Source organism: Homo sapiens, chromosome 5, assembly GCF_000001405.40.
Source record: "Homo sapiens chromosome 5, GRCh38.p14 Primary Assembly".
NCBI lineage: Eukaryota > Metazoa > Chordata > Mammalia > Primates > Hominidae > Homo > Homo sapiens.
Window position 1 is genome coordinate 43482130 of NC_000005.10, and position 26256 is coordinate 43508385.

At 37.3% G+C, this 26256-nt stretch overlaps 2 protein-coding genes, 1 long non-coding RNA gene and 1 pseudogene across 18 annotated transcripts in view, besides 5 other annotated features; 1 reads left to right on the plus strand and 3 right to left on the minus strand.

Annotated features, from left to right (window-relative positions):
- TMEM267 (transmembrane protein 267) overlaps nt 1–2258 on the minus strand; it is a 40136-nt gene extending 37878 nt beyond the window's left edge. For 7 of the 12 annotated variants that reach the window (NM_022483.5, NM_001377394.1, NM_001377397.1 and 4 more), the window contains exon 1: nt 1693–1736. The gene's annotated coding sequence lies outside the window, so the exon portion shown is untranslated. Of the gene's footprint in view, nt 1–1051; nt 1737–1990 lie in introns of those variants that run through there. The other 5 variants (NM_001377402.1, NM_001377398.1, NM_001377399.1 and 2 more) reach the window with 3 other exon arrangements.
- Nucleotides 1591–1821: a silencer, noted in NCBI's record as "fragment chr5:43483822-43484052 (GRCh37/hg19 assembly coordinates)". NCBI's record gives its function as "represses an EF-1alpha promoter that drives an FKBP-Casp9 reporter gene in an ReSE screen in HepG2 liver carcinoma cells {active_cell/tissue: HepG2}" and the evidence as "EXISTENCE:reporter gene assay evidence [ECO:0000049][PMID:32094911]".
- Nucleotides 1591–2610: a biological region, named in NCBI's record as "NANOG-H3K27ac-H3K4me1 hESC enhancer GRCh37_chr5:43483998-43484841".
- Nucleotides 1767–2610: an enhancer, noted in NCBI's record as "NANOG-H3K27ac-H3K4me1 hESC enhancer chr5:43483998-43484841 (GRCh37/hg19 assembly coordinates)". NCBI's record gives its function as "activates a minimal SCP1, AML or CMV promoter by ChIP-STARR-seq in primed H9 embryonic stem cells {active_cell/tissue: H9 hESC(primed)}" and the evidence as "EXISTENCE:reporter gene assay evidence [ECO:0000049][PMID:30033119]".
- On the plus strand, nt 1790–25068 carry C5orf34-AS1 (C5orf34 antisense RNA 1). Its single transcript, XR_007058763.1, has 3 exons — nt 1790–1872; nt 5915–6013; nt 24079–25068. It is a non-coding gene; the product is annotated as a C5orf34 antisense RNA 1 (long non-coding RNA).
- Nucleotides 1876–2065: an enhancer, noted in NCBI's record as "active region_22539". NCBI's record gives its function as "activates an Ori minimal core promoter by ATAC-STARR-seq in GM12878 lymphoblastoid cells {active_cell/tissue: GM12878}" and the evidence as "EXISTENCE:reporter gene assay evidence [ECO:0000049][PMID:35858748]".
- C5orf34 (chromosome 5 open reading frame 34) overlaps nt 4580–26256 on the minus strand; it is a 28440-nt gene continuing 6763 nt past the window's right edge. For 3 of the 5 annotated variants that reach the window (XM_017009446.2, XM_017009445.2, NM_198566.4), the window contains 10 exons: nt 23619–24265; nt 21536–21631; nt 20243–20366; nt 12381–12472; nt 11414–11483; nt 10591–10761; nt 10086–10180; nt 8502–8600; nt 5780–5820; nt 4580–4982 (listed from right to left, as the gene is read on the minus strand). In XM_017009446.2, the coding sequence (XP_016864935.1) occupies nt 4786–4982; nt 5780–5820; nt 8502–8600; nt 10086–10180; nt 10591–10761; nt 11414–11483; nt 12381–12472; nt 20243–20366; nt 21536–21631; nt 23619–24208 (1575 nt within the window). In that variant the 5' untranslated portion in view covers nt 24209–24265 and the 3' untranslated portion in view covers nt 4580–4785. Of the gene's footprint in view, nt 6861–8501; nt 8601–10085; nt 10181–10590; nt 10762–11413; nt 11484–12380; nt 12473–20242; nt 20367–21535; nt 21632–23618; nt 24266–26256 lie in introns of those variants that run through there. The other 2 variants (XM_011514038.4, XM_047417156.1) reach the window with 2 other exon arrangements.
- Nucleotides 6684–6853: an enhancer, noted in NCBI's record as "experimental_85282 CRE fragment used in MPRA reporter constructs". NCBI's record gives its function as "activates a minimal promoter by MPRAs in K562 erythroleukemia cells, with activity observed for both the introgressed and non-introgressed 5:43489000 variant alleles {active_cell/tissue: K562}" and the evidence as "EXISTENCE:reporter gene assay evidence [ECO:0000049][PMID:34662402]".
- On the minus strand, nt 12749–14393 carry EEF1A1P19 (eukaryotic translation elongation factor 1 alpha 1 pseudogene 19; annotated as a pseudogene).

A 26256-nucleotide genomic window follows, 5' to 3' on the forward strand; every position in this document is an offset into this window, starting at 1 on the left:
ACGGCGCCTGGCCCCTACTGTCTACTGTTTTAAGCCTCTAAGTTTTGGTGTAATTTATTACACAATAGATACGTAGAAGAGAACTATTTCTATTTTTAAGGAAGGTATAATTGCAGTTCCAGAACCCCACATTTCTGGCATCTATTCTACTCCAACTTTTGGTGCAGATATTTAACATCTGGCTCAGAGTCTGAGTATTAGAAAAAGAGAAATTTACTAAGTGTTCTTCCTGTATTACTTATTGTCTCTGAATAATACACCTAAGGGTACCCATTTTTCTTCTTAAACTTTTTATTTCCTTTTCCACTTCCTATTCCTCCCCCTACAAATAAAACGGACTCCCGAACCTCCTTTTACATATTCACTTTTGTTGATAAGGTTCCTTAAGAGTAGTGATCTCTTTTAAACTTGTCATGTTTAAAAATCCAGTGTGCTCAAGGTATTTAATAAATATTCCATTTTACTAATACAAGAGATAATCACATAATAAATCCGCAGCCTATGAACTAAAGATACTGTTTGGGATAGCTTCTCTGACATAACTGACATATTATAAATTCCTCCCTATGACTCGCAGAAGCCATTTTCTGCAATGGCCAAACTTTGTCACACCCCATCCCCCTTATAGCAAATACCACTAACTTTGGGGCCTTCAGAGTATACATAACAGTACTTTTCTCCTTCCTGAATTCCACAAACATATAATTAGCTGGTCACTTTAATTATACGCTATCATGTATTGTTTGCTAATAATCTCTTAGACATTATTTCTGTCAAAACAAATAAGAGCTGATACATTCTCTAAGTAAGTGTCATCTGTTTTAACTTTCCCTCTTCCCCACCAACCTTACACATTATATGCAAAAACCCAAGGTCAAAACACGGTCCAAATTCCAGAAACCGCCTTTATTATGCTTTACCAGTAAGTCTTCTTCACTGAACTGTAGTTGCTGTAAACTTAATATATTTAATTTCTTTAATGGAAAAATATCAAAAGCAGATGCCAAATCTGATGCAACTAACTGACAAAGGAAACACAAATCTTGCTTACTTTCACTGAAACTTTTTATAGCCATCAGATGTCTGCACTTAAAATGTTTAGTTCCTATGCCCATTACGAATAAAACAAAATTCTGTATTTCAACATGTTTCAAGCCTCAGAAGTTCCCAGACATCCTTTTCTGAGTCTGGTGTGATGCAATAATTTTTCAAATGTCATTTAAAAAAATGGGCCAGGCTGCAGGGAAAGGACCATGTCACACTCTCAGCATTCAAGCCTCAAAGGCTCCGGGGCACGAAAGGCTCTTACAACCGGTTAAGGACGGCAATGGGCTCCTTCGGCACGACTCCCGGAACCCCACCCTGGGCCAGAAAAAGGCCAGGGGCGCGGAGCGTAGGCGGAGGGCTGGGGTTCTAGGGATCTAGAAAAAGCGCGAAGCCGGAGGGCGGCGCCAGGGCTCCTCGCAGACCCCAGGGCCGCGGGACGGTGCCGGCTCGTGGGTCACACGCACCCAGGAGGCTCCTGGCTCCCGCGTGGCGGCTGTTCCAGCACGCCCTCCGACCCGCAACCGGACCCTCCAGACATCAGACTCAGTGGTCCCCCACCTCCGGTCTCCCACCTCAGGACGCAGTTCCGCGGCGTCCACCCGGCCCCCTCCCCTCAGTCCCACGCAGCGGCTCAGCCATACCCACCCCGGCTTCTCTGAGTTCAATCCAGCAGCAGCTCGAGCAGCGGCTCCGCCCCTCGGTCGGAGCCATAGAGACGTCGGCTGCCGGCCAGAGTGGCCTCAGACCGCAGCGTCGGCCGAGAGGACGCCGGGATACTGGCCAGCTCCAAGTCGAAAGGAAGCGACGCATGAGTTGTTTGGTGCGGTGGGTAGATACCTCGAGTTTCTCCTCGCCCACCGTAGGCCCCGACCCCTAAAAAGGAAACTTTTGGGACGTCAGAGTGAGAGGAGAAAAGTGTCTTTTTAGTTTAGTTTTGTCAAACCTGAGGATTCGTTTTTCAGTTTAGCCGGAGCTGTGCCGCAAACGTAGCTGCCGACATCCCCACGACGCACCCAAGTGGTGGCCCGGAAGCTGGGGATAGAAAAGTGGCCTCCCCGAATGCCAGGCACACAGGCCTTACTACCAGAAGCTTGAGCTGGGAGCCTCGGCCGTCGCATCTCTAAGGTGCAGCGATACGGCCAACTTCCTTCCGCGAAGCCCTCAGGGTGGGCAACGGAGCTTTTCACCAGACTGAGGGACCGGGCGACCTGGCCGACCGGCGGCTCCTCACCGCCCCCTTGGGGATTTCTTGATAATTCTTTGCCACGATGCGGGCGGATGTTGTGGAGCTACTGTTTGTAGATCGCAGTAGCGTGACAGCACTTAATCATGACTACTAAATCCTCAGAAGTCGAAAAAGCAAGTCCATACAGAATAGTTTGACCCTAATTAAATTGCGCTTACAAGATACAGTTTGTTTACTGGGACTTTGGCTAGGTCCCATCCCGTCTCTGCCTCAGAGTGGTGGTTGCTCTTAGCACCAAGGAAATACCAGCTTGACATTTGACTCTAGGAAGCACAGGCCCAAAAGAAGAGGCCCAAGGAGGGACATTCTTCTTTCCCTTTCCTACCTACAGTTTCTCAAACCAAGTGTCAGATGGAAAGCAAGGGGTGGTATCATCGTAATTATACAGTTGACCATAGAAAATAAATTTCAATCTCAAAGTAAACTCCTAGGCCACCCCCAGAATCTTAGAGTTTCTCAATCATAGAACTCATTTCTTGTCACAGTCTTGGTTCTTAGCCAATGTAAAACACCCAACTGACAGGGAAAATTAAACACCTTTTAACTCCCACACACCTTAAATGAGAATTTAAAGTATCTTTCAGCAAATGTATTTATAATTTTGAGTGCTTTTAGCCATGTTAAGGACAAATTTTCTCCTTCTGAATGCAGTAATAATTTGGCATTACCCTTTTGGCAGTGTGGTACAAAGTCTTATAATCTAGGCTTTATGGAGCTATTGAGGAACAACATAGATGGCTTCATGCAAACCCAAACAATGTAATAGTAGTTCTTTTCTCTGTAGTCGGTCTACTGCCTGTAGATGTTTATTCCTTTTTTTTTTTTTTTTTTTTTTGAGACAGGGTCTCCCTCTGTCACCCAGGCTGGAGTGCAGTGGTGCAATCATAGCTCACTGCAGCCTTGACCTCCTGGGCTCAAGGGATTCTCCGGCCTCAGCCTCTGGAGTAGCTGGGACCACAGGCACATGCCATCGTGCAGGTAATTAAGTTTTTTGTAGAGATGGGCATCTCGCTATGTTGCCCAGGCTGGTGTTAAAGTCCTGGGCTCAAGTGTTCCCCCCTCCTTGGCTTCTCAAAGTGTTGGGATTACAGGCGTGAGCCACTGTGCCCAGCTTACTGATTCATTTATACAAACAGAGTGCTCTCAGTGTGCTACAGAATGACTATGGAGCTCAAGTTCTAGTGGAGGGTGTGAGCCACAAGGAAACAAGCTAGACAGATTGTAATAAGTACTATAAAGGAAGTAAATAGGGTGATGTAATAGACTTGGGAGATGCTAACTTTAGTCAGGTAGTAAGGAAGGCCCTTTTGAGGAAATGGTACTTGTTTGAGAATTGAAATGTGAAGGAATCCAGTGTCAGAGGAACTAAAAAAAAAAAAAGGCATTGTGCCCCTTTAACTTAGTGACATTATCATTCCTGATCTACACTCTTCTCCCCATTTTTCTCGTTTTCTCTGTTACTGCTTCCCGTTTATTTGAAGAGCCAGGTCTTTTATAGAAATCAGAAAATTAGAACATTTCTGGTTGTGTTTGGTGTAATCTTGACGTCATTATAGATATTTGGTTTTGTTCTTTCTTAATAGACAAGCTTATAATAAATAGCACTTTTGGTGAGCTCATTTCTGTTAAACACTTTGCAGCATAAATCTTTTCCTGTGTTCAAAAGAAAGTATCTGGTTCATGAGACAGTTTAGATACAGTCTTTGCCAAAGTGCCTGATTTTTAGTTTACAATGTTGCTTGTCTCCGTTTTTGTTTTTGAGATGTAGTTCTTGTCTCATAGCTCTACTGAAAAATACTTGGAGTAAAGGGACCAAATAGCAAGTGAACAAATGCACAATTCTGCATATTAAAAAAAAAGAGGCTGGGTGCAGTGGCTCACACCTGTAATTCCAGCATTTTGGGAAACGGAGGCAGGAGGATAGCTTGAAGCCAGGAGTTCAAGACCAGCCTGGGCAAGATAGGGAGATTCCTGTCTCTACAAAAAAAATTTTTAAAAATTAGCCAGGCATGGTGGTACATGTCTGTGGTTCCAGCTACTCAGAAGGCTGAGGTGGGAAGATCCCTTGAGCCCACAAGTTCAAGGCTGCAGTGAGCTATGATTGCACCACTGCATTGCAGCCTGGGTGACAAAGCAAGACCGTATCTCAAACAGTAAAAACAAACAAAATGAAAAAACCTGAAGATTAATAGTGAATGCTCCACAAGATAAAAACAGCAACAACTTTATAATGTTACAAATTTTTTTTCTTGTTAATCTGAAATAAGAATTAAATGTGAAACGTTCAAAACTTCGAAATATTTATTATTAAGATATAAATACATATTTTAAAAATGTACAAGTTAAAAATACCTTCAAAGTTAAATGTCAGTTCTTTCACAATCATTGTGCCGGGGTAATACGTACAATATCTTGGCTTACTAGTAATTTTATACCAGTCACTTGAAACAACATCCTTAAACTTTAATAATATGTTGTAATAATTCCATTTTTCACTTTTTAGAGTTTGATAGAAGACAGTCAATATCGTGAAGGATTTCAGAGGTTTTTTTCAATGCTATTGATACTCTATTTTCATTAACTTCTCCTAGCAAGGTTTCTGAAGATCCTGGTTTATAATGATCAAAAGACTGTTGTTCATTTTTCTTGTTAGAAATCTGGTTTAGGATACCACTATTTTCTAGTAGCACTAAGTTGCTTAGTTAAGGAGGTTTTCCCCACATTTTTCACTATATAAATATCTTTATATACAGAAAGCATAGGCTTCATATTAAAATATTTCTCAGCTGGAAGACCTCTTGGATTCATAATACAGTTGGAACTGCAAGGCTTATCAAGTCTGCTCCTTGTAGATGAAGAAACTAATTACAGTATAAGGGAGGGGGAAAGAGAATAGAGTGTGTATGTGTGTGTTTGGGTGGAGGTTTGGTGGTAAGGAGGAAATGAAAATTTCAGTAACATTTCTTTAAGTGAAGAAATGACACGGGAATTAAAGAGTAGGATGACAGGATTATAAGGAATCTGTGTAGTGTCTATTTTTAATTTAAAAAGATTTAGAGTGAAAAACCTGTTCGCTATAGAACTAACTTATTTGAATAAGATTAGAGAAAAACCACAAGAGAAAACAAATTTAGATGAATTGGGTGAGAATGTACAGAATGAAATATTTCATTTAAAAAAAGAGGTCTTAAACAGTTATAATTTTATTATATAATTATGTAAGTGAAAAAGTCTCCAAAGGAGACCTTAACCCTAATTAACTGTTCTTTGCCCAATTTAAACTCAAAGAAAAGTATAAATGTTAACATGCTATACCTTCTATGGACAAGATCCATCTTAAATTACAATCTTAGGTATTTGCTGACTCAATAAAGGTTAGCAATATATTAAGTATAGATTAATATTCACAAAGTACTGAAGTCATGAATTAAGCCTAGAATGAAAGAGAGTAATTATGTAGGACAGTGCATTCTGTTTAAAGGATACAGTTAAACTTCTGTATCTTTTCAAGTTCAGAAGCAACAGACCTGTCCAAGGAAAAAGAAAAAATTCATTCAGTTGTCTGATTCTTTTGTATTCATGATATTTCAAATAAGCATACCTGACTTTTTTTTTCATTAGAATTTTAAACGGAAGAACGCAGAAGAATTCTCTTTATGTTACCTTTATTTAGCAACAAATCAACTTGACTCAACTGATACTTACTGAGTGCCTTTAAAGGTAAGTGAATAAAAGTCTACCCCTTGTAAATCCACTTCAAGGAATTTGTAATCAAATATTGATGTTTGAGGATAATGGGCCTTCCTGTTACTTCTTAGTACTAACCTAGCTTACACTCTACTTTCCTCCCTAAAGTTTACGCAAACTTTACAAACCTATTAAAATCCCATTCCTTCTGTGAAAGAACTGCTCTCTCCTTCCTTGAATTCCTATAGCATATTAATTAATCACATACTTATTTGTAATATCTTCTCTTGAACTATTTAACTTCCTGCTCTTCCTACCTAGATTGTTTCTCTCAGAAGAAAGGATTTTTTACTTTTCTGTACTTGTGCATATATTAAGACCTCATTTATATGGAACTCTTTGGGAATGGATGGTATGGGAGATCCAAGTTTTTAAATAGTTGAATTACGTGTCAAAACAACTATTTTTTATTAAATTCTTTCTGGAATAGACTACCTACTTATTTCATTGTTTTTTTAAGCACAGAGGGTTAACATGATGAACATTAGCTCTTATACCATGTTCTATAGAAAGATAGTGGGACAACTGGTATGGAGTAGAGGGCTAATATATACGTCTCCAGCAGAACCCCTAAGTGTGTGTTCTTTATCCTTTTTCTTATCAAGTTAGAATGAAATATGAGCAATGGCATACAACTACAAACTGTAACTTGACTAGCTCTCTGCAAAATTAATGAAGACATTAGTCTAAAATATTCAAGTCACCAGAAAAATCTTCACAGTTCGTAGTAGGTTGTGTGACTTGTCTGCTTTATTGGCTTTACTACAACAGATCACATGCACCTCCCTGTCAGCTTGTACTCTTTCCCTTGTACTCCAGCCTATGGATGGAGAATGAAAAGAAATATTTCATAATTTTAAACACCTGTGGCAAAGAACTTGGATACAACTTACCCCAACAACCAGCTGATTGTTCATTATTGCAAAATATCTTTTTTTTTTTAAACCCAACGCATTTTTCTGGATGTAAGAAACAATACAACCTTTATTGTTATTGCTCTCATAATGAACGAACTTTTTATGAAACGTACTATTTGTTGACTAAAAAGTTGAATTAATAAGCTAATAATGGAGGGTGTGGCGGAAAAAAAATACTAGAATACAACTTAGGTAGCTTTTTATTGTACAATCTTGTTTCTTCCTTCAACCTACCCTCTTTGATAAGAAAAACCGAAGTGGAGATACCTAAGGCTTTATAGGGGGAATGGAGCTACTCCTCAATTTCTTTATCTTGCCTCTGCTGTTCCTAGTTGCTTTCACCTTTAGCTACTATCACCAATCTCTACTTGCAGTTTTTAGTGTGTATTGACAGCCTCTTCTCAGCTTTCAAATAAAAAGGCTGATGATATTTTACAAACTGCCAGCTAAGCAATGGTGAAGTGATGGTTTTATAGACAAGTACAATTTTCCTTCCATCACAATTGTTTTTTGCTAGTTACTTTAGCAACTTTTCTGCTTCCAAACAGGCTACAGCTAAAGGATGAGGGATCTGCAAAGCTGGATCCTTAAGCTACCTGAGATATTCAAATAACGCTTACTGATATGATTTGATTTGTTCTAAGAAAGGGCTTAGGAAAAGGTAACAAAAATTGGCTTAATGTTTACATTTTGTTTCACTACACTATGTTAGGTCACCTCACAAAACTTACTTAAAAAGCTTCCCAAATTGTTCCTGGTATCCCTGTCTTCCCATATATTCAGGTTAGACTCTCAGTGACACTAATCTTCTAATGACCTTTCTTCCTATCATTTTTCCATTTAGGACTTTCTAATTCCATCAGGTCTGAACTCCTATTTATTATAAGATCCATTCCTAGCCCTCAAAACTCATACTATATACTAATAGATAGCATATGTTCCATAAAAACTATCTTCTATCTCCACAGGCTAAAATATCCTTTTTACTTCTGCCCTTATTTCCTCCCTAAAATGTCTTATATTTTCACAGAAAGTTCCCTTGAAGCCCAGTTCTAGTACCCTGCACACTGAAAAGCACACAGGAGGGACTAAAATACTTGCTTTATTTGATCTGCCAGTTAATTTGGGAGAAGTAACTAATATGACAGAAATTATTTAAAAATCAATGTTTTCTGAAAGCTTATGTTATTAAACCTTTTATTTCCTTCAACATTACTAAAAATTTAAGAATCCCCTTTAAATTTTTCCATAAAGTTTTCAGGATGAATTTGTCACATAAAAAGAGCCACTCATTTTCATGTTAAGTTTTCAATGCAAGGTTTTCTTACCTTTAGGTAAAATAGAATATGATGAAATGTAATAAATTAGATGTCTGATTAGAAATTATTTTCAAGCTTAAGCTATCAAAAATACTTTAGGAGTTAAACATATTCAAAACTAAGAAAGTTTTTTTGGGGAAAAAAGTCTCAGTTTACCATTTGACATTTTAATTTTTTTTAAAGTATTAGCTCTTCTAAACAGATTTAAGTTTAAAAGAAAAATACCAATTTTCTTGGAGAACAGAAGATGACGAATGAGTGGGCATCTCTCTGGGACTAGTCTGGGTCAGTCTCCTGCACCATGATGTTACTGTTGTCACATATCTAAAGTGAATACATTAAAAGAAATACTTGAAAAATGAACTTGAATACATTATAAAATTATAAACAAATGTAAAAATAAGACAATTTGGGAAAAAAGGATAAAGAAAAAATGTTAAAGTGAAGCATTTACTGGGCAATTCTCAAAATATTTTTCACTGGTCATAGAAAAGCCAAATTTTTTCCATTATTCATCAAGAATAAAATGATTTACTTATATTTGTGATTAATACAAGTGACATTTAAGAATCAAAATAAAGGCGATATTTGGATTTCATTTAAAGTTCAATTTTAAATGTTCTAATTCTTTTAGTTTTTCAAAGTAAAATGCGTTTAAGTTTTATCAAAAAATATTCACACAAAATAAGACTGACTGAGCATTTGCTTACTAAAATTTAAACCAAAAAACACCTGCTAATGCATATACACATATGCTTGTATGCATATGTGTAATTATATGTAACTTACTACATATCTAAAACAAGTATCAAGTTTAATAAAATGAATGATCTGAAATGATTGGCTGAATCAATAGAAATGTTTGCTAAAGAAACTATCTTTTTTGAGGCAAATCATTAATAGCAATGAATGAGCACTTAGACTGAAACACAATAAAACCCAACAGAAAAATACATTCAAGAGGTAACAAAAAGCTATTATTTTGTGAATATTCTCAAGTGAAATCACTAAAATGTGAAGACTATCACAAGATTTACTGTAATAAATTAGATAAACCAAAAGAAAAAAAATTCATAAAAAGCTGAAGACTCTTCCCCATTTTAAGATAATCATTGCGTAATTTTATCCACTTTATAGAAATATACAGAATTTCAGTTATTTGTGGTTGCAAATCTTATTTCAAATTGGCTAGAGGATTAGTTAATTGTTAACACAGCTGACCATATCCAACCTCCACAGCAAATCAGTATGTCTATAACACATTTCATTTTGAAAAGTTACTTGAATACAAATGAAATGATTAAAGCTGACCTGAAGGCCGGGCATGGTGGCTCATGCCTGTAATCTCAGCACTTTGGGAGGCCAAGGTGGGCAGATCACCTGAGGTCGGGAGTTCAAGACAAGCCTGACCAACATGGAGAAACCCCATCTCTACTAAAAATACAAAAATTAGCCGGGCATGGTGGCACATGCCTGTAATCCCAGCTACTCAGGAGGCTGAGGCAGGAGAATCGCTTGAACCCAGGAGGCGGAGGTTGTGGTGAGCCGAGATCGTGCCATTGTACTCCGGCCCAGGCCACAGGAGCAAAACTCTGTCTCAAAAAAAAAAAAAAAAAAAAAGCTGACTTGATCTATTTAGTTATGCTAAACACAAGTACAGCTATCAACTCTGAAACGACTGAAATGCCTTCATTATTATCCACATGGAAAAACTAAAAATATATATAACACTTAAATAATGCTTATTGCTTATTCTCTGTTAGTTAAAAGTAAAACATAAAAATAATTTTTAAAATTGCTTTTCAGTACCTTTCATATGGTTCAGGGTGTTCAATCTGAATTAACTGCTCTTGTCCATCAGGAAAAGTTAACTTACACCAACCTAAGTTAAGACCTTGATTTACCTGAAGAAGTAGAAAGATAAGTTTTATCATTTTAGAACTGAAAAAAAGAACATAAACAACCTATTCTAACTTCATTAACTTAAAGAAATAAGTAGAGGAATCATTAAAGATGCAACAGTTTAAATGTTGTTTACATGAGATATGGGTGTTATTTAACCACCACTCATATAGGTAATTATCAAAGCAAATGAAAATACTAATCCCTTTCTCTATAATCAGTTATCTTTAGAAAAGTGACTATTTGTCAAATCATTCTGATTTTTGCTAGGAAATCCAAAGAGATCAGTAAAGCTTCTTGACAGATTTTATACTTCAAAAAATGAACTGAAATAGTGTGGTACTTTGTTTTCTTTGTTCTGTTTTCCACAGATTACCAATAAAAAATAGATCTAAGTCTGAAGTATACCCACCTGTCTCTTCTCAATAGGAGAGCTGAAATTCCAATTTAGGGTTAGAGTAATGCCATCTAAAAAGATAGCATGTACTTTGTCATCAGAGTAGGCAAGAAATCTTCCCACACTGGGTATGAGTGACTCTTTCAAAACCAAAGGCAGTATATTGCTATCATTTATCCCAGGTACCTAAAACCAAGTAAATAAAAATAGCAGGAAATAGAGTTATCTAAGAACAAGATTTAAATGAATATTAATGACTCTAGGGCAATTTTGGATACTTATTCAGAAGTCAAATATTATAAAATCCTTATATTTTAATTTTTCCAGAAGTGGATACCCAAAACAGTCTTTTTTTCAAGCAGATTCAGTTATAATATATTTGTAAAGTCACTGTTCTGCTCTGAACTTTACATCCATTATAGACAAAAATTAGGAGCTTACAGGTTTGTAATTAAATGAATATAGATACAGAAATCAAAGTCTGAGAATCACTTCCTCCAAATCAGCATTAAGGAATTTATTTTTACGGTTATGAAAATATAGAACACTATAATATCATGGTTTATAATGACTAATGATTTTACATACTTCAAATCCAATCAGTTCCCCTATCCTTTCCTCTTCATGAAAAATAAGAACCATATACAATAAAACTATAACATAAAAGCCTGAACTTTCAGTGTTTGTCTACTAGGTAGGTATTTTTCTGAATAAACCAACATTAATGTTACAAGAATTTCTCACATGACTTAGAGGAAAACTGTTTGAACTCAGAAGTATGGATATAAACAATAAAACAATTTAAAAATATCTTGCTTTTAAAATAATTTTAACATACCATTTTCCAGCAGCATATACGATAGTTATGGCTTAAAGAAAGTCTCATCTTCACACAATGTTGAAGAATTCTGTGAACACAAAAAATACTACTTAAACATTTGCAAATGACATTTTCCAATTCTAGCAACCCATTTTCACTGCCATACAACATTTTAGATGATCAGTAAATCATTTTCACTGAAATGTGTTGGGAACTCTTTTTTTCTCCAGAAATCCTTAAGCCCCTAGAAGGGAAATACTGTTGCTTCCCTTTGTGCTAATCTTACCTACTTAAGGCTATTCCTTTAATTTTTAGCAATGAAATGATTCCATGGACAGAATTTTCAGGAACTCCTTTTTTAAGAGGTGATAGATTCACACTGCCTGGAAAGTTTCACATAGGCTAAAAATGGTAGGGATGTGAATCAACTATCCCTAGGAAATCAAATTACAGAATATGCTTCTTCAAATCTATTTTGGAAATTGCTTGTACATAAATTTATAAAAAGAAACAACAGTCCACTTGCATTCTTCTGGGTATCATAGATTGAGAGAATTTTAAAAACATATGAACCAAAGAACCAATCTATGCTTTATCATTAGTATATTTTCAGAAATCTATTACTCTGAAGATAATAAAGAAGTATAAAAATTTTAAATGTAACATCAAATCTCCAACTTGATTTCAAGGAACAATAATGATGCCACACTTATGCAAAGAAAGGGCACTTACTTCCTCTCAGCACTTGCTCACCATATATGGATATTTCTCCATATTTAAATTACAAAGCCAGAAGTAATCTTAATAAATGACACAAAAATTACCTTATTTTATAAATTATGACACCAAAAAAGTTGACAAATTTTACCGAAGGCATATATTTCCATTGTACCTGCCAATTCTTAATCTTATCCTTAATCACAAGAAAATGTGCCAAGATGTTTAGACACATAACATTTGATTCAATTGAATGGGAAGAACTTACCTTGTTGCCTGTTTAATTAGAGAACCGACAGTGAATGGACTTCCCGGTCTATCTGGAGGAAGGTTATTTACTGAGTAAGTTTTCTCTTCTCTCTGAAAATTAGTTAAAATGAAAAATTTCATTAATAATAAATTTTGGCCTTTATTACTTAGCTGCTTTTCCTTGAAATATGTTTTTACAATAGTGACAAGACGAGTAGTTATTTTAACAAAATAAAGCCCACAAAATCATGGTATTTTATGATGCTTTTTCATTTTCCCATTTTTTTTTTCTCATTAAACTTTTTTAACAGGTCTCAAAATTCTGTGACAAATTTTTGGTCAAGTTGTTTCCATTAAAAAGTACTGATTTTAAAAACTAATAACTTAAAACTACCACATGCAAAAAAGAAAACCAAAGTGGTCCACAAAACATTCTCCTTTCCTTCTGAAGGTTTTACGATGCATTGTTATCATTAACCAGTCTTTCACTACTAAACTTAAATGGCCAATTGAAACAAACAGTTCTGAGACCATTCTTCCACCACTGATTAAGAGTTGGGTGGCAGGTATTAGGGATAATATTCATTTAGCCTTCTGAGCTGTCTGGGCAGACTTCGTGACCTTGCCACCTCCAGCAGCCTTCTTGTCCACTGCTTTGATGACACCCACCGCAACTGTCTGTCTCATATCACGAACAGCAAAATGACCCAAAGGTGGATAGTCTGAGAAGCTCTCAACAATGGGCTTGCCAGGAACCATATCAACAATGGCAGCATCACCAGACTTCAAGAATTTAGGGCCATCTTCCAGCTTTTTACCAGAACCGCGATCAATCTTTTCCTTCAGCTCAGCAAACTTGCATGCAATGTGAGCCGCGTGGCAATCCAATATAGGGGCATAGCCAGCGCTTATTTGGCCTGGATGGTTCAGGATAATTACCTGAGCAATGAAGTCAGCTGTTTCCATTGGTGGGTCATTTTTGCTGTCACCAGCAACGTTGCCACGACGAACATCCTTGACAGACACATTCTTGACATTGAAGCCCACATTGTCCCCAGGAAGAGCTTCACTCAAAGCTTCATGGTGCATTTCGACAGATTTTACTTCTGTTGTAATGTTGACTGGAGCAAAGGTGACCACCACACCAGGTTTGAGAACACCAGTCTCCACTCGGCCAACAGGAACAGTACCAATACCACCAATTTTGTAGACATCCTGGAGAGGCAGGCGCAAGGGCTTGTCAGTTGGATGAGTTGGTGGTAGGATGCAGTCCAGAGCCTCAAGCAGCATGGTGCCGCTGGCACTGCCATCCTTACGGGTGGCTTTCCATCCCTTGAGCCAAGGCATGTTAGCACTCGGCTCCAGCATGTTGTCACCATTCCAACCAGAAATTGGCACAAATGCTACTGTGTCAGGGTTGTAACCAATTTTCTTAATGTAAGTGCTGACTTCCTTAACAATTTCCTCTTCTCTCTTCTGGCTGTAGGGTGGCTCAGTGGAATCCATTTTGTTAACACCAACAATTAGTTGTTTCACACCCAGTGTGTAAGCCAGAAGGGCATGCTCTCAGGTCTGCCCATTCTTGGAGATACCAGTTTCAAATTCGCCAACACCAGCAGCAACCATCAGGACAGCACAGCCTGAGATGTCCCTGTAATCATGTTTTTGATGAAGTCTCTGAGTCCTGGGGCATCAATGATAGTCACATAGTACTTGCTGGTCTCAAATTTCCACAAGGAGATATCAATGGTGATACCACGTTCACGCTCAGCTTTCAGTTTATGCAAGACCCAGGCATACTTGAAGGAGTCCTTTCCCATCTCAGCAGCCTCCTTCTCAAATTTTTCAATGGTTCTTTTGTCGATGCCACCACATTTGTAGGTCAGATGGCCAGTAGTGGTGGACTTGCCCGAATTTACGTGTCCAATGACGACAATGTTGATATGAGTCTTTTCCTTTCCCATTTTGGCTTTTAGGGGTAGTTTTCACAACACCTGTGTTCTGGTGGCAAACCCATTGTGGGAAAAAAAAGCCATTTTCCCATTTTTTAAAAATATAGAATTACTCCTATTCATTCAAAAGTTTTTTTTAATTTTTTTTTTTTTTTTTTTTTTTGGAGACAGGGTTTTACTCTGTTGCCCAGGGCTGGAGTACAGTGGCGCAATTACAGCTCACTGCAGCCTCTGTGGCTCAAGGAGTCTTCCCACCTCAGCCTCCCAAGTAGCCAGGACCACAGGCACATGCCACCATACCGGGCTAATTTTTTAAGTTTTTTTGTAGAGGCGAGGTCTTACTATATTACCCAGACTAGTCTCAAACTCCTGGGCTCAAGGGATCCCAAAGTGCTGAGATTACAGGCATGAGCCACTGTGCCTGGCCCAAAAGTTACATTCTAATAACTTATTGTGCAATTTAAATATTAGCTACATTTACATTAACATGGTAACCAAACTAATTTTCCTACACATTAGCAGGAAATTTATCATGAGCCACCCCTTTCCCTTAAGACAAAAAGACATGGATATATAGATTTAAAAAAACTATTTTAATTGAATGAATATACCATTTTGCTACATTAATGGAAGAAATACTGCTACAGTTTGTGGAAGAAAAAATTATTTACAGGCGGAGGTTACTGAAATTTGAAAAAAATTGTTATTTTAAAATTCTTTCTGAGTTTCCTCCTCCTCAGACTTGCTAGTGTTTCCCAGCACTCTGTCTCCAGCCTTCTCTTCTGACTTCTTGATTTCTTTTTAGATAATACTAAAAGGGTCCAAAGCTGTGTTCACATTAAATATCATAATAGCAACAGCTAACATTTGTGGAGCAGATACTATGCGCTAGGCACTATCCTACTCACTTTACATGGATTATCTCATTTATTCCTCAAAATAATTCTGAGATAACTATTAATGCTTGTTCTTCAGATGAGAAAACTGAGACTGAGGGCTAAGAAACAGTAGAGATCTGATTTAAACCACCAAGAGAGTGCAGCTCATACTCTTTACCATTAGGGGAAGAAGAGGGGCTTCAAAGTCAGACAGATGTGGATTCAAATCACAAGTCTGCCTCTTACCAACTATAATGATGGGCAGGCTATACAACCTTTTGTAAGCCTCAGTGCCTGCAGCCTGTGAAATGGGGATACTGCCTACCATCCAGACTTATCTGAGGATTAATGATATAATATACATATGAAGTTCCTGGGACAGAATTTAGCATATAATAGGTACCAAACAAAAGTCTTTGTCCTTTTATCTTGGTCTACAGACCTGACTATCTAAATCTCTATTGGGCTTCTCTTTTGGCTATGAAAACAGACACCTCAACATCACCATGTTAAAACTGGAATTAGCGTCATTTCAAAATTTGCACTTTCACTTTCTCTACGCTGTATTTACCTTTGGTATGTCATTTATCACGTTGTTCCCTCTACCTAGAACTCAGTTCCCTCCTCCAGCACCTCCCTTTGCCTAGCTAACACCTGTTTTTCCTTCCGTCTCAGGGAAGCCATTGCAGAGGTCTCATAGACTAGGAGAAATCCCCTAGTTATGTCCACAAGCACAGTTCCCTCTAATCCTGCCTCTTGGTCTTAATTACAACTTCAATTTAATAGTTTTTTACTTAATGTCTGTTTTCCCTGTTAGAATGCAGCTCCATGAAGGAAGGGGCTGTGTCTGTTTTGCTCATGTCTGTATCATTATCATTTATTAGCACAGTGCTTAGCACATGGGAAGCACTCAAAATACCATATTTTAATTATTTATGTCTTTCTCTACTGGATATTGAGTTCCCTCTGGGTTCTTATTTCCAAGACCCTATTTCATCAACTCTAAAATGCTCATTTTTCACAATTTAACCTCTCTGAAATCTGGATCCATCTTACAATTAAGAGTGTCTTATAATCTATTAGGCAGGTGGGGTTGAGATATAGTTGAATTTTAATAATCTCAAATCCTTAATTGACATCTCATGGTAGGCGCAAAAGAAAAAAAAGCCATCATCAAAAAAATTTAGATTTGATAAAAATTTTGGTTTCACACAGTACCGGGCACCACCATTCATTGATTAATAATTTGGCATCCCTTTCAACTCCTTCCTCATCCTCAGCGTCCAGTCAGCAATCAATTCTGTCTCCTTAATATTCCTTCTCATTTTTCCTACCACTGCCTGGCCTTCACTTGAACTACTATACATGTCTTCTGACTGGTTCTACAGCTTCAAGTTTTACCTCTTCCCCACCCAGTTCATCTTCCTCTGAAATAATCTAACAAAAATCTGATGTCACTTCCCTACTTGAAATCATTCAATGGTTCCCCAAATGCAGTGAGGTTACTCATGCTCCAGTTGTGAGCTGGCCATCTTAGTGATCTGGCTTCTTCTCTGGACATTTCCCCCAGCATCCCATCTATGTTTTGGCCTACCAAACTACAACATTTTCACTTCCTTCAACACTCCACACTCGCCCCAGGCTCTTGTGTCCAGTTAGGTGCCATTTATAAACTGTGCTAAGAAGCAGCAATAATAATGTGTTGAATAAGATAGGGCTTAAATCTAGTGTAGCTGATAAAGAACATACATCATTAAGAAAATGTCACCCAATATTCAGTGCTTTGAAGAAAAAACATGAGGATGTCATGATAGGGAGTGTCTTGGGTAGCTTCTTTAATTTGAATAGTCAGGAAAAGCGTCTGTGAGGAGATGACATTTAGATAGAAATCTGAGTGACAAGAAGCCAGCCATGCAAACAATTGAGAAAGTAAATTGTTCCCTTAGCTATATGCTCCTCCTACCTCCATCTGTCTTTTGTACAACTCCTCCTTTGGAATTATAGATCCTAGCTTAGCCAAGTTTTCCTTCAGGAGTTGTTTCTGGAGCCTCAAACACTGGGTCTGGTGCCCTTTCTTATGTGGTCCCAAAGCACCAAGTTCTTATCTCTATGGAAGTACTTACACTGTGAGTACTTGTCAATCTTTCCTATTTCAATTTTTAATTATACAATAAATAATACATTAAGTTTTTGTTAAAAAAAGTTCAAAAAGTATGAAAATTGAGTCCTCTCAGACTTCTCCTCCCTCACAAAATCCCACACTCTTTCCCAAACATAGCTACTTCAGTGTGTATTTGCCCAGGATCCTTACTTGTGCTTGTGCATGTGTATTACAGAAAGTACTATATAGGTATGGGTTTATTTTTTGTTCTTTACACAAAAGATATCATTGTACGTGTTCTAACGCAAGTTTCTTTATTCGCTCAACAACCCGATCTTTGAGATCTTCCAGAATCTATTACTGTATGCATCGACATCTACCTCATTCTTTTCAACTACTGTACACCATTCCCATAATTTGATAATTACAACTTATTTCACCATTTCCCTATTAATGAACATTTATTTAGGTTGCTTCTGATTTTTTGCTGCTACAAATAATGCCACAAAACACACCCTTGGCCGTGCTTCTTTGAACACGTGCAAATATTTCTCTAGGCTAGATACTGAGAAGCAGAATTTCTCATCAATTTCATTTGATGTTATCAAATTGTCCTTTAAGAAAGCCAAACCAATTAACACTTCAACCAACACTATGAAAGCACCACTTTTCCCACACCCTTCCCAGCAGATGTCATCAGTCTTTTTAGTTATTGGCAATTTGGTAAGGGAAAAATGTTATGTCATTGATATTTTAATTTGCATTTCCCTGATGCAAGTAGTAAAGTTGAATATGTTTTCAAATATTATGACTTTTTAATTTACATTATCTTTTCTATGGCTAAATCCATTTTTACCCTTTGCCCATTTTTCTATTAGGGTATTTTGGTTTTTTGGTCTATTACTGATTTATAGTGTGGAATATCTTCTGGGCTTTTGCTTATCTTTTTAACAGAAATTCTAAAATTTTCTTTTAATTAAAAAAATTTTTTTGAGACAGAGTCTTGCTCTGTCTCCTAGACTGGTGTGCAGTGGTGTGATCTTGGCTCACTGCAACCTCCACCTCCCAGGTTCAAGCGATTCTCATGCCTCAGTCTCCCAAGTAGCTGGGATTACACACAAGCACCACCATGCCTGGCTAATTTTTGTATTTTCAGTAGAGACGAGGTTTTGCCATGTTGGCTGGGCTTGTCTCGAACTCCTGGCCTCATGTGATCCACCAGCCTTGGCCTCCCAAAGTGCTGTGATTACAGGCATAAGCCACTGTGCCCAGCCTAAATATTTATAATTTAACGTAAGTTTGAAGATTTCAAGCTTGTCAAACTTTTCTTTTATGCCTTCTGGTTTTCTGTATTCTACTTAACAAGGCCTCCTTTACCCAGAGATTTTAAACATTGTTCTTCTATATTTTCTTCTAACACTTATAAAGTTTGGTTTCTTACATTTAGCTCTTTAATTCATCTGAAATTTATTTTGGAGTCTGGGTTAAAGTAAGGAGCAAACAACTTTATCCCCAAAAGAGGGTCAATTGTTTCTAAACCTTTGCACTAAAACAGACAGAGAAAGGTGAAGGTGTTGCACACAAAGGTTGGAGAGTGAAGCCCAAGGCAGTCCACCACAAATGCGTTTTAACCCAAAAGCTCATGCTTCTACTCCATGATATATTTGCTTTAGTATAAAAATTATCACCCCCTCCCGCAACAGCTTTGAGTAAAATTGAAGCTCCAGGAAGACACACTCCTTTTATCTTGCAATTTTGCACACCCTCTGATATACAGCAGTCAGCAATATGACTATGCATACCTACTCTATTTGCTTGCTCACTTGATTGTCTGATGTACTATATAAACACACATACACACATATATACGTATACATGTTACTGGGCATGCTTGTATCTCATTTGCTTGTTTGCCTGTCTAACTGAACACAAGACTGTGAACTCTTGAGGGCAGGAACTCTTCTTCATCTTCATCCTTGTCAGTGCTTACCAGAATGCCTGCCAAAGAGTTACTGTTCAATTAATATGTATTTACTAAATATTTTCCTAGAAATAGGCCCCAGTTGGGAATCTGTTCCAATATATACTGAAGTATTTATGAAGAAAACAATATTTGGTTGGGATTTACTTAAAAATAAACAGGGAGTGGAGGGAGAAGCAGGAAGTATAAATGAACAAGATGGGTGATGGGTACATAGGGGTCCCTTATATTTGTCTACTTTTGTATATGTTTGAAATTTCCATAGTTAAAAAAATCTCAATTTTTAACTCTATTCCCTAGGGATTCTGATAATCTGATTAGTATTTAAATACTCCACTCTGTAATGAAGAGAGAAAACATACTTATTTTGTTCTAGCATGCAAAGTAGTGTGATACTATAGTGATTGCTGTGAAATGGTAGATGTCAAATATCAGAGGGGCAATAAGCAAATTAAAACTCATTAACAAAATATTGACATTATTAAGACTATGGGCTGGTAATTATACCATGTTATGTTTCACTGTTTTCAGCAACAGAGAACAATCTTATTCAACTGTCTAGTTGTATATAAAGATTTAGAAGTTAAGAGGTGCTTAAAATACACAATTACATGGTGGGGAAAAAAGAATGTGCTTTTGCTTTTTAATGTACAAATATTAATTCAAAGTAGTGTATTAACTCAAAGTCCTGGTTTCAGCATTTTCCATCAATAAAGTCTATGACAAAAGAAAGTTTCTGATTTAAACATGAACTGCTTAGGCAAATGGAGATAGCAGGTGAAAATACAGTAAAAATAAGGTGGTTAATAATTACTGTACCAATGCTGGCAGTAAGATTATATTAATACTCCAGACTGGGGAGTAGGAAGCAATGTTATATAATGACCAAATTTCCCATATATATTTGGAATTATTTAGAAAGAGCTATACAGCAAAACTCTTCTTGAGTTGAGTTCATTGTTGGCTTACCTTTCCTGATCCTTCTTGAATAGAATAATAAGTAAAATAGTTCCCAAAATAAGCCCCTTCTGATTTGAAAACAGATCCATCCCCAGAATAAATCTCTATTGAGTTCATATTTTGATGGGTAAGTCTAAGAAATAGAAATAACCATTAAAAATTTTTTTCCACTTGAGATTAAAACATGCATGAAGATAGTCATCAAAAAACAGTAACAACAAAATCTAAGCAAAACAACACAGTCTTTTTGCCTGTCCAGTGAAGCAGATAATTTCATATTCTGAACCCAACCAGCTAAATTAACTCTTTCACGAAAAGATAAATAGAATTGGCTTATGCATTTATTTCAACAACTAAACTAAGAACTTCTGGAATTCAGGCATCTTGTCTTATCATCTTCTTGATATCCCCACTGCTAATCACAAGGCTGGCATATAAGGGTCACCAAAGCAATGTCTATTGCATACGTGTTAAATACAACATTTCCAGAACCTGAAAATAGATTAATGAAACTAGCGGAATCAATACTTTATGGATAAGATTAGCCGTCTGCACAAGGGGCTATCCCTAAGAAAAGATGGCTGTACCTGGAGCAGCCAGGTACAATCAAGGTACTGGGTATATACCAAATAGAAACTTAAGCCAAGTTAATTTTATTAACATACATGTTAGAATATGTTGTTAGAAGGAATAGGTCTTCACATAGGAAAAGGAGAGCCCCCTCGCTCTCCAAAAATTTAGCAGTGCTCTTCTAGCATTGTTCATGGAAGTGAAACTCTCAATCTGGCTAACACTAGTATTCTAGTCACTAGAAGGGTGTCCTTTGTTGTGGGGTATGGATAATTCAATGGAACAGTGCTGGCACAGAGTGGCCACTCAATGAGTATTTGCTTTGTGAATGAAGGCTAAAATCTCCCTTAGGTGATCTAACTTCTCTAATTCCATGCTCAAGCAATTCTGTTTTGACTATTTCAAACAACTTGATCCTCCAATGCTTGGAAGGAGTATCCTAAATAACTGATATGAATGTTACATTCACTAGCAAACCAATCCCTCATTGGCTTTGGAGGTACCACATAAGTCTTATAAAAATGGTTAATGTGAGTGAGTCACAGGACCCTTGTGTGCACTAATAACATTAGTTTTGAGACCTGTAAAACTCAGGATCAAACACAGGAGCACAGTTGGCCCAACAGAACTGTGTCCTCTTCTGAGAGTCTGTCTATAAGGCTCGTCCCATCTTCTCTGTGACATCAATAAACAGCTCTAACTCCAACATAGAAGCCAACATAGGTGCCTTACCTATATGTAACACCTTTGTACCAAACCATTTTCACTAGTTCAGGATAGGAATATTCATCAGATTGTCTCTGTAAAAGTGAATCACAAAAATTCCACCTGTGAAGGATAAAATACAAGCTATTACTTCTGGTTGCTCAATATAATTGTCTTTAGAAGTCAACAAAATGTTGCTACTGTAACAGGATTAATTTCTTGTTTAACTCACTAGATCAAAGAATAAAAATTAATATGAAGGTATATTAATGAAATGTAAAAAGCAAGTCTTTTTCCATGTTTTTTTCACTATTTTCAATAATCTCATTATTGAATCTCAGCACAATTACATAAATTAACAGTTTTAATAACATTTAAAATTTAGCCTGGATTCGCTAGGCATGGTGGCTCATGCCTGTAATCCCAGCACTTTGGGAGGCCAAGGCGGGCGGATCACGAGGTCAGGAGTTTGAGATCAGCCTGACCAACATGGTGAAAACCCGTCTCTACTAAAAATACAAAAATTAGGCGTAGTGGCACGTGCCTGTAATCCCAGCTACTCAGGAGGCTGAGGCAGAAGAATCGCTTGAACCCGGGAGGCGGAGGTTGCAGTGAGCTGAGATCGCGCCAGCCTGGGTGACAGAGCGAGAATCCATCTCAAAAAAAAAAAAAAAAATTACTAAAATATCTATAGTGGGCCAAGCACTGTGCTATACACACTGTGGATATAACAACCAAAAAAATGTAGACATGGTCTCTGCCCTCAGCAGGGACATTAAATAATAAACATTGAGTGTAAAGAAGAGGCAAGTACTGCATGCTATGGAATTGTATAGGACTTAACTTGTTTAGGGTCTTCAGGAAAACCACTCTAAAGAAGTTAGGTTTAAGCTGAAACCTGGAAATGAGCATAATTTAGCCAGCTGAGAGAGAAAGAGAACACTCCTGCAGAGTAAAGAGTAGGTGCAGTGGTCACAGAGTGCTTGAGCAAGCATTTTAGGGATTGCTAAAGTCCAGCTTAGCAAGAATAGAGAAAGCAAGGGCAAGAGTAGTGAGAGAGTTGAGGATTACAGATATAGGAAGGGACCAGGTCACAAAAGACCTGGTAAGCTATGTGAAGGATCATGGATTTCAACCTAAACATCATGGTAAGTTATTGAAAAATCATTACTTTTGAAGCATAATTCCCTTTTGATGTGTACTCGTAATACTTTTCTCATTTTAACCAGATAATCATGACAAGCCTAACAGTCATTCCCATATTTTTGTTTTAAATAACAAATGTATACTCAGAGATTGCCTGGGATCAAATCTCAATTTTACAAGTACTAGCTGTGTACCTTTCCTCAAGTTATTTAACATTTCTATGTCGCAAGTTCCTCTACATATAGGGATGATACGTTTTTTAACTTCATGGGAATGCTTTGAGAATCAAACGGGTGAAGTCCAACAGTACCTGGCACATAAGTGTTTTGTAAGTGTTAGTTTTTATCATTATGATTTGCACTGTTTATGCAAAGTTGATGTTACAAATCTACAATCCTTAGTGGAGTTAAAAGTTTTATACTTAGCCTTACAGAAGCCACTCCGTGTGTACCCCTTTTGAAAACAGACGTATTTATAGTCAGTGAACCAAAGACACGGGTAGCCTCTGAAGCTAGGTATGGACAAAAGAACTGTGTCAGATCCACACTCCAGCAAGCAAGGTCACGGGCTCCAGTGAGCGGCAGCAGGTGCTCCCCTGGGCCCACAGAGCCCTGTGCAGACTCCTGTCCCATCATTTAGCATACTTTAATAATCTTTTTAGGTACAGTGACCTTCACTAGATTCTAAGTTGCTATAAAGCAGGGACTGTGTCTTAGTCATCTCTGCAGTTACTGGACTTAGCACAGTATCTAGTGTAGAGTCAGCCTTCTACATTCAATGCATGGACACAGAGTAAAAAACATAAGCAACACATTTGCTAGGGAAATTATTTACTATCAGTTAAAAGCAAAATTTTGGATGAGATAAACTTTCCTTGTGAATGGTATCAGATAAAAAGAAAATTATCCAGGTTAAGACTGGTTCTGATAAAAAGCTTCATGACCAATAGCCATTACTGCATTACCTGTGTAGGTGTGGGACTGGACAGCTGAGTGACAGGGCCCTGGGAAGAACAGAAACCACTTTTCCTCTTTCCTCTGAAATATCAGAAGTTAAAAATCTACTCTGAGTTATATGTGCATCAATTTTAGACATATTGCTGATTTTATTATGAAAATGAAGTGCTAAAGACAAAGGATATTTCCATTCCTCTGGACAGGCAGCCACAGACCAGCACTGCTTGACCCATGTGTATACACATGTGTGCTTTGTACCAGGCGAAGGCAGCTCTTCCCTCCCTTCAGTTCCATTTACACAACTCATCTTCTTTAAAGTTTCTTTGGATTTCATGATCTGGCAATGAAACTCATTTTCTTTATTCTTCAGTCTCTGTCCTGGTAAATTTCCACGTATACAGATTTTGCCAGTTTTTTCAACTAGTTTATCTTTTGGGGCTTTATTATTTGTTTCTGACAACACTGCAGATGAGTCTGACTTCTGGCTAACTTTACACAAAAAATGTACTGTAAATTCATGCTGAGATCTGGGCAGGCAGAGGTATGCATGACCATCTAAAGATGTTATCTTCACAATGCCACTCTCCATATATATCATGGTACCATCTGTATCAAGACTGGGCCATCTCACTTCTGTTATGTCAATGAAGATATGCTGCAAGGAGAGGGGAAAAGAGACGGTGAGTATTTTCTGTTAACAGTCCAATTTTTCCATATATTTGATATTTAAGTATTGTGTAAGAAAGCTCTTAAATATTTGTGTTTTACTATCTACAGAGAATGAAAAAATGGAGGGCCAGATCTCAGCCTATATATGATTTTCCAGAGAATGTTTGATATTGTTAAGATTATCACCCTTAAAAAAAAGAGATGTAAAACAGACACAAAATGAGAGAAATGGTCATATTTAGTGTTAAATGTATTTTGGTTTTAAATGTACAATGAATTAAACAGATTTGTATCCCTCCCCTCACCCTGCAAAAGTTTACTCTGAAAAAAAACTAGAAATAAGGGAAGACCAACACTATGATACATTATATTAAAAGCAATCATAGCTAAAAATTTTTCTTTAAGTTTTAAATAAAAAAAAAAGCAACCATAGCTTAAATGGTACAGGACTACCATAAAAATTATTGACAGAACAACTCAGAAAATTCAAAAACAAACTCAATCATATCTTAAAATTTACATGAGATAACATAAGTTTTTCAGAGCAAGAGGGAAAAGAGAAAATTATTTAAACTAGTACTAGAATTACTGAACAGCATTTGGGAAATTCTGTCTTGCAGGGTTATCACATGAACCAAATAAGGTAACATGTAAAAAGTACCCATCCTAGGTAGTACCTGGCACACCATACACTAAAATAAATTTCAGGAGGCTTAGAGGAAACTTTAAAAAAGTTTAATTACTCAAAGAAAAATTGATTCTGACTAATAAAAGACTCATAACAAGTAACAGTGTTGATTGTGACTTTTCATATAAGATATAAACAGTAGATATTGCGTGAGAGGTTTTTACTGAATTAATTTTGCCAAGCATTTAGCATTTCAATTCCATTTATGTAAAATCTTACGTTTACACAAACTATTGTCAAGAAAGCTTCCTAAATTTACCATGCTATCTATATGTACGATGTTAGGACACTAAAATTGAGGGCTGTATTTACTGACAGCAAAGCTGGTTTGTAAGGATGGTCATCAAACTCCTCTTTTAGAATTAGACTATCTAATAATCCTGCTGCAGCATCAGCAACAAGCTAGGCAGTTTCAGTGAATAAAGTGACTCAAAAGACACAATGGAAAATTACCATTCTAGGCTAAGTTACAACTTATAATTTTTTATGGCTCCTTTGCCACGAGACAATATAAAATTACTCAGCCGGCAGGCAAGCATCTTGACAGCATAGAAAGGTAGCAGAAAGTAGTTGAGAAACAGAGTTTACAGAGTCAGATAGACTAGGTTCAAATCCTGACTTTGCCACTGAGAAAACTGCCATAGACAAATTAGGTAAACTCTCTAAGACATAATTTCCTTGCCTATAAAAAGAGGCTGCCGGCCGGGCGCGGTGGCTCACGCCTGTAATCCCAGCACTTTGGGAGGCTGAGGCGGGCGGATCACGAGGTCAGGAGATCGAGACCATGCTGGCTAACATGATGAAACCCCGTCTCTACTAAAAATGCAAGAAATTAGCCGGGTGTGGTGGCGGGTGCCTGTAGCCCCAGCTACTCGGGAGGCTGAGGCAGGAGAATGGCGTCAACCTGGGAGGTGGAGGTTGCAGTGAGCCGAGATCGTGCCACTGCACTCCAGCCCTGGCGACAGTGTGAGACTCCGTCTCAGAAAAAAAAAAAAAAAAAAGAGGCTGCCATCTAGCCAATATACCTGTTTTGATTGGATGGACATCCATTTTGATCAGTATGGTGTTATTAAATATTTCTAATATTGTTCATAGTTGTTGGACATAGTAAACCCTCAGTAAATGACAGTTATTATTCCTAAAAGTCCAAACACAATACTATATAAGCAAAATAATAAAGGTCATACCCATAGTTACATATTTCTACTATACATTAACAAATACGCTGTTACTGAAAATGGTCACATAATTACTTAATTTTGAGACCTCTGAGAATGAAAAAGTCACCA